Source organism: Homo sapiens, chromosome 9, assembly GCF_000001405.40.
Source record: "Homo sapiens chromosome 9, GRCh38.p14 Primary Assembly".
NCBI lineage: Eukaryota > Metazoa > Chordata > Mammalia > Primates > Hominidae > Homo > Homo sapiens.
In genome coordinates, this window is record NC_000009.12 from 90607336 (window position 1) to 90628631 (window position 21296).

The 21296-nt window shown below is 40.1% G+C and overlaps 1 protein-coding gene across 1 annotated transcript in view, besides 2 other annotated features; it reads right to left on the reverse strand.

The window, feature by feature from the left end:
* Positions 1-2496: 2496 nt before the first annotated feature.
* DIRAS2 (DIRAS family GTPase 2) overlaps positions 2497-21296 on the reverse strand; it is a 32993-nt gene continuing 14193 nt past the window's right edge. The window contains exon 2 of the mRNA NM_017594.5: positions 2497-6528. Within this exon, the coding sequence (NP_060064.2) occupies positions 5893-6492 (600 nt within the window). The 5' untranslated portion in view covers positions 6493-6528 and the 3' untranslated portion in view covers positions 2497-5892. The remainder of the gene's footprint in view (positions 6529-21296) is intronic.
* Positions 5641-6141: an enhancer, noted in NCBI's record as "NANOG-H3K4me1 hESC enhancer chr9:93375258-93375758 (GRCh37/hg19 assembly coordinates)". NCBI's record gives its function as "activates a minimal SCP1, AML or CMV promoter by ChIP-STARR-seq in primed H9 embryonic stem cells {active_cell/tissue: H9 hESC(primed)}" and the evidence as "EXISTENCE:reporter gene assay evidence [ECO:0000049][PMID:30033119]".
* Positions 6142-6642: an enhancer, noted in NCBI's record as "NANOG-H3K4me1 hESC enhancer chr9:93375759-93376259 (GRCh37/hg19 assembly coordinates)". NCBI's record gives its function as "activates a minimal SCP1, AML or CMV promoter by ChIP-STARR-seq in naive H9 embryonic stem cells {active_cell/tissue: H9 hESC(naive)}" and the evidence as "EXISTENCE:reporter gene assay evidence [ECO:0000049][PMID:30033119]".

Consider the following 21296-nt stretch of genomic DNA (forward strand, 5'->3'; position numbering starts at 1 on the left):
CTCCATCCCGCCCCAAGACTTAGGGAGCTGGCAGGCATTCCCAACTAAACTTGGCTAACAGCAGTGATTCTTAAATTCAATTCCATATCAAAATTACCTACTAACACACAGTTTCTGTGAGGGGTAGGCGGTCTGGTTATCAATAGTTTGCAAAACTCCTTTACCAAGTGATTCTCATGTGCAACAAAACTAAAGAGCAAGTAGATTACAGCCTTGCATGTCAAAGTGTGGTCTCAGACCAGAAGCAGGGACATCACCTAGGAGCCTGATAGAAATGCAGACTCCCGGGCCCCACTCGGCCCTGCTGCCTCAGAGGCTATGGAATCACAAGACCCTGAAGTACTTCATTTGCACATTAAAGTTTGATAAGCACCAGAATACCCTTTAATGATACCTAATAGGGTCGGCTGATTGTCATTATCTCCGTAAATTGGAGCCCTGACTAATGTTGCAATAATGACCTGAAGCTGGGCGGAGGGTTGGAGTAGGGAGGGGCATGCAGACAGCAAGACCTGGAAAGCTGTTGATAAAGAGGCTGGAAGAAGCGGAAGTTTCTGGTGGTTTTTGTACTTGGGTAGTTTGATTTTCACTTTGCCGCCAACCTTCCAGATAGAATGCTACATAGTCAGCAGATTTTTGTATATTTCCTCTGAAAGCTCAATATATGACAAGCCAGCTCTGTGCTTTGTGCTTATCATTAAATTAACCCTCAGGGCCACCACCCTGCAGACGTTAATCATTCCCATTTTGCAGAAGCACTAAGAGGGCAAGAACCTCCCCAGTGTCACTTAGCCATTCCGTGGCAGAGTGAGGATTTCGTTTTTAGTGTTTGATGGATTTTTCCTGCATCATCAAAATTAAGCTTTATTTCACAATTAGTGTGGAAAAAGAGAAATAAAGACCAAACAGAAGCAGTACTCAGCAACAATGCTAGGGCAGAAACTGTCCCCACAGGGTTGACAAGAATGGCATGCCAGGTTCTGGATAGAAATAGAATAATAATTAAACATTAATCAGGCTGCACTTTGGCCCACTTCCTTGTTGCTAAAAGTCACGTAGCACTAGATCCTGACCATTTGTATCTCTTCGTTCCTGTAGATAAGATTTCTGGCATTAAGGTTATAAGATGGTTTAAGAATTGATCTGCATCCCTGTTGTTCCCATAGACAGGACCTCTGACATTAGAATCATAAGGCTTTTGTTTAAGGATCACTTAAGATTTTTTCAGCCCCCAAATTCCAGCACCCAATTTGAAGACCCCACAGAAGGACGGAATCAGCATGAGATTGCAGCTTCTTCATCCTCATCCCACGACTTCACCCCAAACTCTTTGACCAATCAATGATTTCCACACTTCATGCTGTGGCCCACTCCAAAACCCTTAAAATCACTAGCCCCACAGCCCTCTGGGAGATGGATTTGAGGTTTCCTCCTATCTATCTCCTCACTGGGTGACCCTACAATTAAACCTCTTGCTCTGCTGCAACTCCATGTCTCAGGCATTGGCTTGTCCCAGACTTAAAACACCATCATTTTGTCAATGAAAAGAATCACTCTATAAAATTTTTGAAGACATTTATTCTGAGCCTAATATGAGTGACTGATGATCCTAGACACAACCCCAGGAGATCCTGAGAACATGTGCCCAAGGTGATCTGGCTACAGCTTCATTTTATACATTTTAGCAAGACATAAGACATCAATCAATACATGTAAGATGTACACTGGTTTGGTCCAGAAAGGTGGGATAACTCAAAGTGGGGGCTTCCAGGTCATAGGTAGATTCAAGAATTTTCTAATTGGCAATTGGTTGAAAGAGTTAGATTATTATCTAAAGACTGGAATCAGTAGAAGGGAATGTCTGGATTAAGATAAGGGCTTATGGAAACCAAGGTTCCTATTATGCAGAAAGAATCAATAGAAGGAAATTCCTCCTACCAGACCCAAACAGTCTATCATTCTTCAGATGTTTTAATGTTAATGCTGGTCAGTTGTGCCTGAATTCCAAGAGGAGTAGGATATAATGAGGCATGTCTGATCCCCACTTCCCATCATGGCCTGAACTAGTTTTTGAGTTAACTTTGGAATGCCCTTGGCCAAGGGAAGCATCCATCAGTCAGTTGGGGGGCTTAGAATTTTATATTTGGTTTACAATTTAATAGCCTGGGGTTGTGGAGGAAAGCAGGATTAAAAAAAAAGAGAAGGGAGTTTGTCTTCACTTCTTCTATTTTGACACAAGTAAGGCCCTGCCCTACTCCTTCCCTCTCTCACCTTAACCTGTCTGGATCTTCTGCTTCATTTCCACCCAAAGACAGGGAGCAATGGGAAAGTTTCACGGGACACCCCAGGGTGAGTTATTGTTGCCTATTGCTAGTTCTGCACAGAGCCTGATATCCTCCTATTGTGGTCATAAGCACATAACAGCCGCTGAGGGGTCACCAAGTCAAGGTCATCCTAGACCAGCTAACCCCTTAAGAAATAGCACCACCTTCCAGCCAGGGTGTCATAACTGTAGCTTTATTGTAATATCTCCCATTATTTCCAGAACATCACTGGCAACTAGAAACTTGTATGCAAGGGTGATTTTTATAACCGCAGAGTAAATAAAATATAATAGAGAATAGACTTGTAACAATAAATACACTTTAAATATAAATATACACATTGATATCCCACACATATAAAAGTCATGCTCTGCAAATACTTTGTATACACACTGTCCTTGTGGGGTATGAATTCCAGGATGTGTCTTCAAGGATTTACATGTGTCCTATTAGTTGTAGATATTTCCAGAGAACTTATGTAGAAGCAACACATTACAAATTTTGGGGAAAAAAATTAAGTATCACAGAGCAATTTTTAAAATATTTAATACATTTTTGTTCTACAAAGAATGAGCATTTCTTAAATATTACAAACAGTGAAACAAATATACTAGCTTACAGATATGTACAATTTATGACTTTATACTTCAAAAATGCAGGAAGATAAATTATATATTTTATATACATGTAATTTTAGATAGAATGAACAATTCAATATTGCTCTTGTGTTGGTCTTGCTGCATTGTATGCATGCCCATGGCTTGTCGCTGGATGGAGGAGGGGCTCATGGGGATAGAAGGGAAGTCATGGAGCCCCATGCTCATGCCCAGAGCGCCATCTTCAAAGCAATATTTAATTAAATATTAACTTATTCTGCCTGGGTCAAAAACTGCTATGCCCATATGCAATGTAGGATGTGTTTTCAAGAACCACAGCTACATATTTGGGAATGGAAACGTACAAATGCTTTAAAAAAATCTAATTCTGTGATACTAACTCCTCAAACTCTGAGTCAATTGGGGATCTCCTAAAAGACGATTTTGAGATAACCATTGATATCCTCAGTTCAGCTCATAGAAAACGATCTCAAAATGAAGACCCATAATTGAGGCTTCAATAGCCTTCCTAGCCTATAAATTCACAGAAAAAATATGAAGGAAAAAATGTGTCCTGAATGAAATCAGACTTTCAGTAATTACAAACTTCTCATGCTGATGAAGCCCTGAACACTTAAACATGTAGAAACTGATTTGAAAGGGATAAAAGAAATTCTGACTTACAATCAGTAGAAATGGGATGGTTTGCAGGAATATCTCACATTAAAACCTTATTAATACTACAGTCAGTGGCAAAGATCGCATTCTACTGTTAACAAAGAACCCAATCAAAATCTATAGGTCTACTTTGGCCATGAAGTTCTGTTTCTTCTTCCATTTAACCTATACCCAAATTAAAACTTGATCATCTCTCTCTCAGAATAGAAACAGAAAAAAAATGTCGGGACAAGTTGAAAAACAAATGTTCCAGAAAATCCGCCAACTAAAGATCTCATTGCGAATGCTGTGCAACAGCTTTTTAGAACAGAACAATCCTGCTTGAGGAATCTGAAGGGGGCCACGGGACTGGCCCAAATGCTCTTCACCCCCAGCTGGCTCCCACGCCACTTCTCTGCTTTCTCAGCTCAGCATGAGTGTTCCCCCTGTAAAGTCAGGGCGGTTTTGTTCTAGGAGATCATGGAGTCAAGCAGTTCTCAAAGGCACCTCCCACGCTCTAAACACATCCCAAGGGTGAGTTATTGGGAGACCAGAGAGGATGAGATCAGGACAAGGGAACTGAACCAGAAAAGGCTGAAGAAAACTAGGACATATTGAGAGAGCAAGTGTGCTTTGGGGGATGGAGATGGCCACACTGCTGCTGCTGCAAGCCCTGCATAGGAGGGACAGGAGAAACAGCAGTTGCAGGAGGTGGCCTGGTCAAACATCCCCAACTTAAGCCCTCCCTGTGCTGACACTGCCACCCAACAGCCATGCAGCCCCCACCCCCCCAGGCAGGCCCACGTGGGACTGCAGCTCCTTCTGCCTGCCAGGCGGGTGACAGGAAGACTGCTGAGAGGATGATGCCACAGTTGGGGCCAGTAAATGTTCTGCCAACTGAAACAAACAGGAGATCTAACAGGCACTATCAGTGGGAGTTTTCAGGAAGCCAAGTCCAACCAGGCTCTACGATGGCAGAGCAATTAAGCTGAGTGGGCTCTTCCCAGGGCAGAGAAGCCTGCCTGTCTCCAGCCACCATCCTATCCCCAAGCTAACACAGGAAACCTGAAATAGCTGTAATTTGGCTTGAAAGATTAAAGATGCACACAAAATCATTAAGAGAAAAAGATAATTGTTTCTAGAGTGAATACTGTATTGAACAGCTCTTAGAAGACACGTATAATGGAACATGCAAGAGAATTTACTATTATTTAAATGCATTTTCCAGGAACATATTTCCAATACAGATAGATCATCAAAAACACAGTGAATAACTTCTGTTTCAAAGTATTTCATTAAGGTGCAAAGTGTGGCATATACATGTTTGTGACACTACAAAAATGGATGTGCTTCTGGTTGTCTGATGGCCTTTGCTGGCTGCTACCCAGCTGGGTACAGATCGAGTTATTTAAGAGAAGAAAACCACCTTGGAGGAAAAAAACGTCTAAAAATAGTGAGTTTATTTGCTTGTATTTAAAATCTGAGGGCTGAAAGAAGTTATACTCCTCACAGGTCAAAAGAAGAAAATCACATTTCTAAAACCCTCGATGTATAACACACAGGAACATTATTGCGATGTTTTAATACTGTCACGATATCCTCACTTAAAAACTGAAGAACTTCCGACAGAGCAGCACACTGTTAGTGCACTTATCCCTGCACATGAAGATAAATACTCTAATAGCTTAAAATGATACTTCCTAACTAGGTCTAGGTAAGGTGAACACATCCCCTCAGGGTAGCAAGGCTCCTAACAGGCCAGGTGGGAATTAAGAACGGACACCCTTTGGGGGAGAGGCTGTGTTTTTTAATCCCCTTTAAAAAAGTGTAAAATGGACCAAGTGTGGTCCACTTTGGACCATCTGATCTTCTCACCTCTTCCTGCCCCTCCCCTCCCCCAAAGATGTGATTGGCTTCTGTCTGGGGTTGGTGCAGGTAACTCTAGGTTAACACGCTCTCACATGCACGTAGATGACATTTAGTCCTCTCGGTACATGTTGCTTTGTGGGTACCAGTCCTCCCTCCCACCTTCGGGTGTTCATCGCCACCTTCAGCAATTGCTGGCACCTCTCAGTTCCCAGGGATGCTGAGTGTGTTGGTTTTCACTTGAACCGCCTGGCAGATTCTGTGACTCCAGAGTGGGTGGCTTACTGTTGGTGGTGTGAAACGCCCTCTTAAGGACAATAGGACGCATCTCGATTAAATGCAATGTTTAACACGTGGGCATTATACATGCTACCCTGACGACGGTGGGTGTCATTTTGGGGGAGTGAGGTGCCGGGGACACACAGCTGCTCCTCCCGCAGGAAGGGCCTTCACATGATCACGCACTTGCCTTTGAGCTTCTCTTTCCTTTTCTGCTGCTTGCTCTTTTTCCCGTCGATCTGGAGACTCACGGTCCTGCGCTTCTCCAGGTTGAGCAGCTCCTGGAAAAGCTCCTTCACGTTATGGTTGAGCTTGGCTGAGGTCTCCATGAAGGCACACTTCCATGTGCGGGCCAAGGCCTCCGCCTCGCTGCTCTGCACCTCGCGGCTGGGGCTCTCATCACACTTGTTCCCCACCAGCATGATGGGGATGCTCTCCACGTCCCCTTTGATCTCGCAGATTTGTTCGTAGATGGGCTTGAGCTCCTCCAAGGACTGTCGGCTGGTAATGGAGTACACCAGGATGAAGGCGTGCCCTTTGGAGATGGACAGCCGCTGCATGGCCGGGAACTGGTGGCTCCCCGTCGTGTCGGTGATCTGCAATGTGCATATGCTCTTGTCACAGCTGATCACTTGCCGGTAGGTGTCTTCCACCGTCGGGATGTAGCTCTCCCGGAATGTGCCTTTCACAAACCTCAACACCAGGGAGCTCTTGCCAACACCGCCAGCCCCAAACACGGCCACCCGGTAATCGTTACTCTGCTCAGGCATGTTGCTGGAGAGCTCCAACTCTCAGCCAGGACGCACCTAGCAAAGGAACCAGATGTTTGAAAGAATTAATAATTAAAATATAAAAACATTAATAAGGATAGCTCTACCCTCTTTTGATAGCTTAAAAATGGGAGGTGATAACATTTAAAATAGCGACAATTCTAAATCCAATAAATTTGGTCAATCCGCCGTTTTCAAAAGGACAGACGATCTACTCAGGGGCTCACTGGAGCCCATCTGTTTCTCTTTATTGGACCATGACAATGAGCATCTTTGCTCCCACATAGGCCCTAAGCCCAGGTAAAAGATGCAAAGTGAGCCCGAGAGACAGCACCAAGGAAAGGCAATGAGAAGATAAATTAACTACCCCCGTAAAAACACAAACACACATATGCACACACACATCACCATCATCAACAGCAGCATATCTTTGCTGTTTTACCTGAAGTACTGAGTACCCAATATACTGGTCATCATAATGTGTGTGTGTGTGTGTGTGTGTGTGTGTGTGTGTGTGTGTGTGTGTGAGAAATACTGGGAGAGGGAGATGAATGAGGGAAAAGGATGTTCTAATATTTATTCAGTGTTTATATTAACTCATGAAATCCTCACCACTCTGCAGGAGTTGGTGCCATTAGCTCTGTTGTACAATGATGAAACTGGAAACAAGGAAGAGATCGGGAATGGAATGTCTCTGATGTTACACAGCAATAAGAGGGAAGGCTAGGATACAACCAAAGCATTGTGGATGTCAATGCCCATCCCATAAGCTGTCTGTAGACAGAGCTGGTCCCAGTGACTTGGGCGTTACTCAGGCCATAGTATAGATTGTCTCCATTAAGTATGAAGAGTTAACTAATAAGTGTGGATAGTCATTTCATTCATCAAAATTAAGATGATTATATAAGCTTTATTTTTAAGAAACATAAGGAATCAGGTATTACCAGGATAGTAGCATAAACTACTTTTTAAGGGTCATTAAAAATGAGGAGAATGCAGCAACTCTTCATCACAAACTTCACCCCTAGTTTAATATTTATTTTTATTCAGGGATGTGTAGATGTGCCTTCTTAATTTACAATCTATCAAAATTTTTTCATTCTGTACCTTCTTCGGTAAGGAAGGACATATAACACCAAACAAAATAGAGAATTACACAATTTGGATACATTTTTAAAACTGAAGTTGATAAGTAACATGGTAATGTGAAGCATGGAATTCATTCTTCTCAGCAAGCAGGCATTGTGCTGACTTTTCACCTTTCTAGTTTTAGGGCAACTTTGGAAAAACAATAAAAAGCTTTACTGAAGCAAATAAGTTTTAGAGTCCAGTAAAAATATTAAACATAACTACCAATGGAAGGAAATGCATTTGTGCAGTGAATATGTTCTCCTGACAGACAGAACATCAGGTCAAAGCCCTGGACTGAGGTATTCCACCTTCTCATTTTGCCTCATGCGTCTGCCTACAAATCTGCTCGATTCAATACTCAGCTGTTCTTGCATGCACTTTGGAATCCCAAACCCTCCAAGAAGCTAAGGAAACATCAATGCTAACAGAAAATATAAAAGACTGTTAGGAAGTTCATTAACACCAAAAGATGGCAGAAGAGTCTGCTTAGGAGTTTGGTGAAGTTTATTAAATGCTTATGAGATAATTATGATTAATTCAAGGGTGAAGCATTGTGATAAATTTTTCCACAATTTTTTTAAAAAAACTCAATCGTGTCTTAGTTTGTTTTCTGTCACTATAACAGAATACCTCAGATGAAATAATTTTAAAAGCAATCTACTTCTTACAGTTCTGGAGGATGGTAAGTCCAATATGAAGAAGCTGGATCTGGTGAGAGCCTTTTGTTGCCTCATAACATACTGGAGGGCATGGCATGATAAGACAGAGCAAGCATGTCAGCTAGGGTCTCTCTCCTTGTCTTATAAAGCCACTGATGCCATGACAGGCATTGCCCAGCCTCCTCATGACCTCATCTATTCCTAAAAGCCCCACTTCCAAATACCATGAACATACACATTTGAGGATTACATTTCTAACATATGCACTTTTAGGGAACACATTTAAACCATAGAAAATGGACAATGGAATCTAATCTTAAGCTTCTTTCTACATCCTCAGAATGAAGCTCTCTTTTTGCTTAGAAGGGAGTTTCCTCACTCGTTTTGCCTTGTATTATGGTTATGTAGCTCCAGACTAGAGCATAAGCATCTAGCTGGAAGAGAACATATCTTAACAAGTTCTGCATCCCAATGTATCTCAAAGATCTCTTGGTTCACAGCACATACACTCTTTATGAGTTTGCTGAATATGTGGTCAGCTATGTTAAGGTGTCTCCATTATTAAACTGGCAACGAACACATAGGAAGTAAATGCTAAACATAAAATAAAGTATTCATGGCTACAATTATTCATTTACCCAGAGAAATATCCACTGAGCTTCCACTAAACCAGGCTGTGGACAAGCGGCCAGAAAACAACTGTGCAGAGGACAGACTTAAGGAAGGATCTCTATTCTCATGAAACTCAGAATCAAGTAAAGCAGACATCAATCCAAAAGATAACTTCATAAATATTTAATAAATTATATCATAGCAAGTGCTGCAAAAGAGAGGTCTGAAGGAATTTCATGAAATTTGAGATATCAGGAAGAATTTCACTAAGGAGGTGGCATGGAAGCATGAATCTGAAAGATGAACAGGAGTCAGAAAGTTGAAGGGGTATAAAGTTCAATGTGCATTTATGAGATAGGCCTGGGCCAATAACTCCATAGTGATCTTCAACTCACTAACAAAAACCCAGACTGTAGAGAATCACTTGAACCTGGGAGGTGGAGGTGGCAGTGAGCTGAGATCATGCCACCGCACTCCAGCCTGGGTGACAGAGCAAGACTCCATCACAAAAAAAAAAAAAAAAAAAAAATTGTAAACTATTTTCTTCCATGTCAGAACCATTCATTTATTTCACAAGCATTTATAAAATGTCTTCTAGATACTGTGCAAACTCAGTGCTTACCCAACAGCACTCACAGCATTAGAGGGGGGACAAGCATAGGAAAGTATACATTACGCCCCACTTCGCAGATGCTGTGATCTAGTTATCAACAAAGGCAGGATAAGAACCTAGTGGGGAATCTAGCTCTGCCTGGAGCCCTCAGGAAGCATTTCACAGAGGGCTGGAACTTGCCAGATGGTGAAGTGATGAAAGGCGTGTTAGTCAGAAGAAAGAACTTCATAGGAAGGAATAAATGGAGGAAATAGAGCTAATGCTCATGCCATGGTAGACAGCTTGTGTAAACTGGCATCCAGGAGTGAATTTGGGGTAGCAAGTGAGTGGTGGCACTCACCATCAATCAAGATAAAAGGCAGAAGAGAGAAGCAGCTTTAGAGAAATGACAGTAAACAACAAGGAGAAAGGAGCTGTGATTGGGTCAGGTTTATGGGACAAATGGGGGAGATATCTGGTAGGTGATTGGGATTTAGTGTGAAAGTTCAGCAGAGAGGACTCATCTAGTGATAAATATCTGGATACCATTCATACACAAACAGCACTATAATAAACAAAAATTCTCCAGGGAGAGAGCATGTAGAATGAAAGGAGAATACCACATGCCCAATCTGTTATATGCTATTGAGAGAACTTGGCAAGTTACTTAAACTTTCTGCATTTGAGTTGCTTTAGCTAGGAAATGGATATAATAATGCCAAGTTGTTTATGAGACTAATGTGGGGAGTAACACAATGCAATCAAGCACTTGAACAGCTCTCAGCACATAGTTTTTTGGCTACATTCAAGAAGGACCATGCAGATAAGGGGTTCATAAAGGAGCAGTATGATGGACAAGGAGAAAAATTCACAAGAGGGCAACTAGCTATTAAACTCATTCAATAAGATTTCAGAATACAACATTCATATAAAGAACCAACTGTATTTCTATACACTTGCAATGAACAATCTGAAAATGAAATTTAAGAAAATAACTCAATTTATAATAGCATCAAAAAGAGTAAGATACTTAGGAATAAATTTAACAAAAGATGCAAAACATATCTGGAAATTACAAACATGGTTGAAAGAAATTGAATACACGAATAAATGGAAAAGCACCCCATGTCATGTATCAGAGGACTTTTACTGCTAAGATAGCAGTATTTCCAGGAATCACCTACAGATTCAATGCAATTCTTAAAAGCATCCCACTAGCGACTCTGCAGAAACTGACAAACCGATCCCAAAATTTATGTAAAAATTCAAGAGACCCAGAATAGTCAAAACAATGTTGAAAAATTAAAAGTGAAAAAGCTGGCAGACCCATACTTCCTGATTTCAAACTCACGACAAGGATATAATACATCAAGAAATTGTGGTACTAACACAGGATACACAGATACATGAACAGAATAGAATTCAGAGTCCAGAAATAAACCCTCATATTTACAGTCAATTGTTTTTTGACAAGGGTGTCAATAAAATTCAATTCAAAAGGCAGAAGGAATAGTCTTTTCAACAAATGACGCTGAAACTGGTAAAAGAATAAGGGGAGCACCTCTCCCTCACACCATACACAAAACTGACTCAAAATAGATCAAATACCTAAATATAAGAGCTAAAACTATAAAACTCTTAGAAGAAAACATAGGTATAAACCTTGATAACCTTGGAGTAAACAGTGTTTTCTTAGATGTGACACCAAAAGTATGAGCAACAAGATTAAAACTAGGTAAATGTGACTTCATCAAAACTAAAGGACACAATCAAGAAAGAAGTAACCCACAGGATAAGTGAGTATTGTTATAAATCATATATCTGATAAGGGACTAGTTCTGGTATATACAAAGAACTTCTACAATTCAACAACAACAAAACAACTCAATTAGAAATGGGCAAAAGACTTAAAAAGACATTTCTCAAAAGAAGATATATGAATTTATTGACTATATTTAATAGTCAATAAGAAGATATACAAATAGCCAATAATAAGTCAATAACATGAAAAGATACTCAACATAATAGTCACCAGGGAAGTGCAAATCAAAACTATAACAAGCCTGTAATCCCATCACTTGGGAGGCCGAGGCAGGCAGATCACAAGATCAAGAGATCAAGACCATCCTAGCCAACATGATGAAATCTTGTCTCTAAAAATACAAAAATTAGCTGGGCATGGTGGCGCATGCTTATAGTCCCAGCTACTCAGGAGGCTGAGGCAGGAGAATTGCTTGAACCTGGGGGGCAGAGGTTGCAGTGAGCCAAGATCTCACCACTGCACTCCAGCCTAGCAACAGAGTGAGACTCTGACTCATCTCAAAAAACAAAACAAAGGCTGGGGGCGGTGGCTCATGCCAGTAATCCCAGCATATTGGGAGATCGAAGTGGGTGGATCACCTGAGGTCAGGAGTTCAAGACCAGCCTGGCCAACATGGTGAAACCCCGTCTCTACTGAAAATACAAAAAAAATTAGCCAGGTATGGTGGCAGGTGCCTGTAATCCCAGTTACTTGGGAGGCTGAGGCAGGAGAATCACTTGAACCCAGGAGGCAGAGGTTGCAGTGTGCCAAGATCACGTCATTTCACTACAGCCTGGGTGACAAGAGCGAAACTCCGTCTCAAAAACAAAACAAAACAAAACAAACTATAAAGTACCGCTTCATACTCACTTGGATGGTTATAATCAACAACAACAAAAAACAAACCCAGAAAATAACAAATGTTGACAAGGCTGTAGGAGCATTTGAACCTTTGTGCATTGTGCATTGCTGGCAAAAAATGTAAAATGATATTGCTGTTTTGGAAAAAATTCTAGCAGTTCCTCAAAAGGTTAAACAGAATTATAATATGACCCAGCAATTCCCCTCCTTTGTATATACCCATGATAAATAAAAACACATAGCCACACAAAAATTTATACAATGATACTCATAGCAATATTAAGCATAATAGCCAAAAAGTGGAAACAGCACAAATGTTTGTAACTAATGAATGGATAAGTAAAATGCAATCTACCCATTTCATGAAATATTATTCATCAAGAAAAAGGAACTGGTACATACTGCAACATGGATAAATCCTGAAAATATTATGGCAAGTAAAAGAAGCCAGTAGCAAAAGACCACACATACTGTATGGTTCCATCATATGAAACATTCAGAATTGCAAATATACAGAAAGGGTATTTGTGGTTGCCTAGGGAGGGTGGGGTAGGGACTGGGGGGAAACAAGAAGTAACTGATAATAGGTACAAGGTTTCTTTGGGGGAAATGAAGTGTTCTAAAACAGTGGTAATGGCTGTACCGTAAAACCCTGCGAATGTACTAAAAACCGCTGAAATGTACACTTTAATGCGGGAATTATATCTCAGTAAAGCTTTTACTTAAAAACAGACATGAGGAGGGCCAGTAATCCACTGCATATAGTCCATTATCTACTGAAAATGATTCACACATATAGAGCATCAGGTCACAGACCCCAGTATGAGAAATAACCTGTTAAAGGTAACAGACCTCAGCTTTATTCCTACTAGGCAAGTAATTGAAATATCCCAAATATTCACAGTAGAAGATGAACAAACCCTGAAATATTCATACCATGAAAAGCAGTACCCTAAATTAACATATTAATACCTTAAGAAAAAGCAATACAGGCTGGGCACGGTGGCTCATGCCTGTAATCCCAACATTTTGGGAGGCTGAGGCAGGTGGATCACTTGAGACCAGCAGTTCGAGAACAGCCTGCACAACATGGTGAAACCCGTCTCTAGTAAAAATACAAAAAAATTACCCAGGCCTTGTTGTGTGCCTGTAATCCCAGTTATTCGGGTGACTGAGGCACGAGAATTGCTTGAACCCAGGAGCAGAGATCACGCCACTGCACTCCAGCCTCTCTGACAGAGTGAGACTCCGCTGTCTCAAAAAAAAAAAGAAAGGAAAGAAAAAAAGAGAAAACAATACAAAAAATGATACATGCAACAACCTCTTTGAACCTGACGGTGGCCTGCTGGGTGCTGGAAATATTACATATCTTGATGTGGGTGGTGGTTACACAGATGTTAACATTGTTGTTATATGACCATTATCTAGATTATCCTATCTTATTCATTTAAAATTATCATGAAAATAAAATTTCAAATTTAAAAAATCTTTGAAAACTCAAAAATCCAATAGGATACATTTTCAGATCCCAGTTAGAGGAATAAGAGTGTTGTGAGATCAAGTATAATAGAAATAGAAAGTAAATCTTTGATTTCACAAAGCAGAGGTTAAATAAAGACTGAGAAAATTTTAGTTAAGTGACATTGGGGGGTGTGAAGGGAGTAGAAGTTATGTTACAACAGGCCTGGGAATGATGGAAATGGAAGAGATGGCTAGAAAGACAAGAAATGTAGATTTCTCTTGAAATAAATGTGGAGATTAAGGAAAGGAGAAAGAATGACTAGTATAAGGTAATGCAGGGTTAGAGAGGTAGGAAAGATTCTGTATAGATCTGGTGATGGATAACTGATAGAGCAAATCTTAAGGAAGCAGGAGTCACCGGGGCCTAGGATGCAAATGGCAGGTCCGTCTTCAAGGAGGGGAGGAAAGAGAGAAGAGAGGGCAGGTGTTAGTTCAGAAGCGCAAATTAAAGCTGCCCAGACCAAGCCAAATCACTCAACTCACAAAGAGAGCACAAGAAAGCCTGACTGCATTTTAATAATTTTTTATAAAAGTACACTTTAAAACAAAAAAAAATTGACACAATGTATGTATTTGGTTAAAAAATGTAAGGAGATTATAAAATGTTCTTTTATGCATAGTCAGTCCCCTTCATTCAGGAGCCCCCCAGTTTCTCTTTTCAGAAATAACAACTGTTTAAAAGAATGAGAACTTAGTCATCATCTTCTGATGTCCACAATTATAATTTTAAATCAGGCACTTATTGTTTGAATAACAGACCTTTGCATCTTGACTTACTGACTTTGGACCATATCTATCTACAAAATTAACACAATGTCATTCCTTCCTCCACTACCCTGATTTTTGTTACAAGAAAAATAAAGTTTGCATCAGCATTTAAGATTTCCAGCTATGTTATTTATAGTTTGTTCAAAATATATATGTGTTCTGTGCTTTGCCACAGCCTGTTTCTAAATCCTACCAAAAGGCTGGGTGCAGTGGCTCATGCCTATAATTCCAGCATTTAGGAGGCTGAGGCAGGAGGATTGCTTGAGGTCAGGAGTTCGAGATCAGCCTGGGAAACATAGCAAGACACCATATGTATAAAAAATACAAAAGTAAGCTAGGCGTGATAGCACACACTTGTGATAGTAGCTACTCAGGAGGTTGAGGCAGGAGGATCTCTTCAGCCCAGGAATGTGAGGTTGCAGTGAGCTGTGATCACACCACTGCACTCCAGCCTGGGCAGCAGAGCAAGACCCTGTCTCAAATAAATAAATAAATACATACATTCATACATACATACATACATACCCTATCAATAAAGAACATTAATAGGATTCTGTAACTATTTTTCACTGCAGGAGTAGGTAGTAGGACTGGACCCACTGAGAGAAGGATAATCTTCTTTCATCAAACTTTGCTAATTGAAGAATAATTTTCTGTCAGTAACATTTGGATCTTACTTTTTTCCGGAGTTTTTTTTTTTTTCCTCTAACTCTTAGCTGCCAATTTTGATATTTCAATTTGTCTCCTTTCAGCCATTTCATGTGCTGGTATAAACAATACTAATAAATTATTTCAGATGGTATTAAAATTTCTGAATTCATGGCCTCTCACTTGATTGATAGAGTCCTGAATGCAGCCCAAGTTCAAATTCTTTCTTCTTCAGACGTTATTTCATTTTTAAGTTTAGCATCCAGGCTTGTTAACGTAAAATCCAAAGCCAGTATGATTATCTTTCCTTTGTAAGAAATTTGTGTTTTTCCTTTCTCTTTGGAAGAGTTAGAGTTTTCTCTCTAACCTTGGATTTATGAAGATTCACAAGGATCCATTCGAAATTGCTTTTTGAGGGCTGGGCGGGGAGAGACGGGATAAAAACCCAATTTTTCCCAAAGCCTGGGGACACTTTCTTCTATTTTAAAAAATTACAACATTCCAACCCCTATATCTTTTCTCTTTCTGAAACTTCTATTAGATGATGGATTGATTGTACCTATTCTTGATTTCTCCAGCATCTTCTATTTTTAATAAACTTTCTTGTACTCTGATTTTCCCTTTTTCATAGAAGTAGTTTCTTATCTTAGGAACTGTGATACCATGCTGAATTTCAACAAGAATGCTCATTGCCATTGGTTGTGGCTGTTCTCCTCGCTTATCTGAGCTCTCTGTGTCTCTGTTTGCTCATTTTAATCCTTTTTTTTCATCTGCTCATTTCCCCAAATGTCTGCTGGTCTGTGGTTTTCCATTTGATTTATGAAAGAATCATCACATTGGCTGGGAGAGGTAGCTGGAGTGTGAGTACTCTTGAAGATGTGCAGTTCTGTTTATCGACAGGCCATCCCCTGAATGGGAAGGCTGGGATGACTTGATACACACCCCTGTTATTTTCCTTTTCTTGAACTTGGTTGAGCTAAACTGTCTCAACACTCCCTTATACTCCAAAAAAGCTTATACATAGACAGCTAGAGGAAGGAAAGGATTAAGAAAATAAAAAAAAATCCATCCCAAAGTGCATAAAATACAAAAATATATGTCAATAATTCAAAATGAGACCTCCTAGGCAGTGAAAATCAGTATTAGGCCTATTGGGCCTAGATTCAGGGAAAATGCATTTTGATTTGCTGAGTGACACAAGTTTCCCATTCAATAATATTTTAGAAGAAACTTGAATTCTTGTGAATGAGATAGAAGCATGATCTCAGGCAAAACAAACCCACAGCCTTTATCTGTATTATACCCTAAATTAATCCTGCTTCAAAACACAGTTATGGAGCTGGGCATGGTGACACACACCTGTAACTCCAGCTACTTGGGAGGCTGAGGCAGGAGGATCGCTTCAACCCAGCTGCTCAAGACCAACCTGGGTGATACAATGAGACCCTGTCTAAACAAACAGTCAAAACTAGAGGGAAAATTATAGATTGGAAGAATTCGGATCTTTAAGAGTAAATGTTTGGAAAAGGTTGATAATTTAGTGTACTATTCTGCCCTAAATGTTCTATCTACAGCCTAAGCTAAAAGGTTTACAAAGCTAAAAGGTTTACAAAGCTAAAAGGTTTATACAGATTGTCTCTGCTCAATTACTGACTTGGTTTCCGTGAAATGTTATTAGCTTTAAACAAATCTTATATTTGAAGTTGGTACATGGGAGCCCTTTAAAAGTCTTAATAATACAAGGTGAATAATGGTCATTAAGAAACAACAATCAACAAAATGTAAATTCTTTAGGTAGGAAAGTGTACTTTTATATATTTTTAGAATCTTGATTTAAATAAATGTTTACTTTATATTCCTTCTTAGCTCAATCTAAAAAATGATAGATTTGTTAGTGGGAAATGTTTGATCATAAAAGAGACTTAAACATCCATGGATCAACTTTATCCAGAAAAGCAGAATGCTTTTCCCGGAATCTTGTATTGTAGTGTTGTAAAGACATCTTCCCTGGCAGTGGGGCAGGTACGAAAGCAAGAGACACATCCAGAGGGTCTCAGCTGCTCATTTCAAGATGCATACTACCTGCAAGAATGAAGTCAGTGGAGATAAATGGGGCACTTCTTGGAATGGCGGGGATAGCATAAATTATTTTTAAGATTTCATATCCAAGAGGCCAATAAGCCCACAGCTTAAGTATACAAATAAGTTTCACTTATATTTGTCTAGAACAATTTCATCTGGGGAACATATGATGGCCAAAAATTCCAAAGAGCCAAATAAAACATACTTAATGACACTTTTTTTTTTTTTGAGATGGAGTCTCACTCTGTCGCCAGGCTGGAGTGCAATGGCGCGATCTCAGCTCCCTGCAACCTCTTCGGCCTCCCGGGTTCAAGCGAATCTCCTGCCTCAGCCTCCCGAGTAGCTGGGACTACAGGCGGGCGCCACCACCTGCCTCAGCCTCCCGACGTGTTGGGCTTATAGGTGTGAGCCCCCACACCTGGCCGCTTAATGACACTTTTAAGACTGCCCAGAGCCTAACTACACTTTGGGCATTTTCTGATTTATTCATTTTCTATGTGAGTAAGGAAAACAAAAAGGAAAATCATGTGAATAACAAACAAGATTGTTGTCTTGGTCAAGGGACTGGTGACCAATGACCGATGCAGCATGCTAACCTCTGCAGGGAAATAGTTACACAAAGATAAAGTCAACTGGAGCACACGAATCTGCATGTATGGAAAATAAAGTATTTGATGCCAGTTATGAGGGCTTGATGCACTACTGTGTGCAGCTCAGACTATTTAATTCACTGTCAGCCCGTGGGCTACCTATGTATTCTTGGTTAGGTGAATTTCTAGTGTTAGCCACCTAAAAGTTTACAAAACTGGCAAGGTACAAAAAATGATTCTTTCAAACAATCATGAATTATTTTGTTTCTCATGCTTTTGGTGTCATTTGAGAATCCATTACTGAATCCAAGGTCATGAAGATTTACTCCTATGTTTCTCTTAACAGTTTTATGGTTTCAGTTCTTATGTTTAGGTCATTGATCTATTTGAGTTAATTCTTATATATGGTGTGAGGTAGGTGTCCAACTTCATTATTTTACATGTAGATATCCATTTATCCCACCACCATTTGTTGAAGAGATAATTCTTCCCCCATTGAATGGTCTAAGTCCCCTTGTCAAAAATCAGTCAACTATAAAGGTGAGTTTATTTCTGGACTTTCAATTCTATCCCATTGCTCTATATGTCTGTGCATATGCCAGCACCACCCAATTTTGTTTACTGTAACTTTGTAGTAGATTTTGAAATTGAGAAGTATGAGTCTTCAACTTTGTACTTCTTTTTCAAGATCTTTTATCTATATGAGGCCCTTTGTAATTCCATACAAATAGATAAATTAGGCTTCATCAAAATTTTAAAAATTTGTACAAGAAAGGGCATTACCAAGAAAATTAAAAGAGATCCTTCTTGTCTGGGCGCGGTGACTCACATCTGTAATCCCAGCACTTTAGAAGACTGGGGTGGATGGATCATGAGGTCAGGAGATCAAGACCATCCTGGCTAACATGGTGAAACCCCATCTCTACTAAAAATACAAAAAATTAGCCAGGTGTGGTGGTACGTGCCTGTAATCCCAGCTACTCTGGAGGCTGAGGCAGGAGAATCGCTTGAACCCAGGAGGCAGAGGTTGCAGTGAGCCGAGATTGTGCCACTATACTCCAGCCTGGGTGACAGCACGAGACTCTGTCAAAAAAAAAAAAAAAAAATAGAGAGACCCTATGGAATGGGAGGAAACATATATCTGAAAAGGATGTAGTATACAGAATATATAAAGAAACTCTTACAACTGAACAACAAAAATACAAACAAGCCAACTAAAAAACCAACAAAGAAGTTGGGTGCAGTGGCACATGCCTATAGTCCAAACTACCAGAGAGACTGAGGCAGGAAGATGGTTTGGGCCAGGAGTTCGTGTCCAGCCTGGGCACCATAGCAAGACCCCATTTCTTAAAAAAAAAAAAAAAAAGACAAGAAACTTGAATAGATATTTCTCTATAGAATACATACAAATGGCCAACAAGCACATAAAAAGATGTCAACATCATTAGTCATTAGGGAAATGTAAATCAGTGAAGTACTACAATGAAGTACCGCTTCACACCCACTAGAATGGCTGTTTTTAAAAAACAGAAAATAAAAAGTGTTAGCAAAGATAGAGAGAAACTGAAACCCTTGTGCATTGCTGGTGGTAATCTAAAATGGTACAAAATCTGCGGAAGAAATCAAAGATAGAATTACTGTATGATCCAGCAATTCCACTTTTGCTGGAAAAGAAACGAAAGCGGGGACTCTAGTAGATATTTGTGTGCCCGTGTTCACACAGCAGTATTACTCACAATAGCCCGAAGGTGGAAGCAACCCAAATGTCCATAGAAAAGATGAATGAATAAACAAAATGCAGTATACATAGACAGGTGATATAGTTTGGATATTTGTCCCTGCCCACATTTTGTGTTGAATTGTAAGCCCCAATGCTGGAGGTGGGGCCCGGTGGGAGGTGTTTGGATCATGGGGGCAGATCCCTTATGGCTTGGTGCTATCTTTGCAAAGGTGAGTAAGTTCTCGCGAGATCTGGTCATTTAAAATTCTGTGGCATTCCTCCTCCCCACACCCCCAACTTGCAACTCTCTATTTCTTCTGCTTTCACCATGTGAAGTGCCTGCTCCCTTTTTGTCTTCTGCCGTGATTGTACGCCTCCTGAGGCCTCCCCAGAAGCAGACACCGCTATGGTTCCTGTACAGCCTGCAGAACCATGAGCCAACTAAGCCTCTTTTCTTATAAATTATGAAGTCTCCGGGATTTCTTTATAGCAATGCAAGAATGCACTATGGCAACAGAAATATTATTCAGCCTTAAATGGGAAGAAAACTCTAACACATGCTACAACACGGATGAACCTTGAGGACATTATGCTAAGTGAAATAAGCCAGTCAAAAAAGACAAATACTGTATGAATTCACTTATAGCGGGTACATATAGCAGTCAAATTCACAGAGAGAAATAAGAATGGGAGTTGCCAGGGGCTAAGGGAATGGAAGAAGGACAGTTGTTGTTTCATGAGTATGGAGTTTGGGTTTTGCGAGATGAAAAGATTCTTAGAGATGGATGGTGGTGATGGTTGCATAACAATGTGAATTTACTTACTGCCACTGAATTAATTACATGCTTGAAAATGATTTAAATGGAAAATTGTATGTTATATATATTTTACCATAATAAAAAGATATGACTGTATGTATAAACATTTTTAGCAATAACCGAACCATGAATTAAAGATAATGTCCATAACGAACGTAATTGGCAGTGTTAGCTAGGCAGACAGCTCCTCCTTATTCATCCACACTATACAGTAAAAACAGCAAGGGTCAGGGGTTGTGGGGCAAGGGGAGGGAGAGCATTAGGACAAATATCTAATGCATGCCGGGCTTAACACCTGGATGGCAGGTTGATAGGTGCAGCAAACCACCATGGCACGTGTATACCTATGTAGCAAACCTGCACATTCTGCATAAGTAGCCCAGAATTTAAAATTTAAAAAAAAGAAAAAGAAAAAAAAATAGCAAAGGTCTCATCTAATCCAACAAGATGAACAAAACAAAACTAATATCTTGAGAAGACCAATTAAAATGCACACCTTCATGCTGGCCTTAAGTTCCTACTGTATTACTGACTGTGTGAAGCCATCACTATTAGCCACGGCATCTAACACTCAGCCCCTAGACCTGTGCTGCCCACACAGTGCCACTGGCCCCTTGAAATGCAGCTGGCTGAACTGAAATGTGCTGCCCTGGATTTTGAAAACTTAGAATAAAAAATTGTTTTTAACCTCATTCATAAATTCTGATATTGATTACAAGTTGAAATGATCATCTTTCATAGATTTGTGAGTATATCAGTACTTTACTGCCACCCACAGCTGTGATCATCTTGCCATTTCAGACTGGGGAGACTAGGTGGCCATTGTCATTGCTGATCCTGTGAGAATGTAAAACTGGATAATATATGAAATGCAAAATAAAACAAAATTTATACACACACACACACACACACACACACACACGTATTTTTTTTGAGACAAGGTCTCACTCTGTTGCCTAGGCTGGAGTGCAGTGCCTCACGCATGGCTCACTATAGCCTCA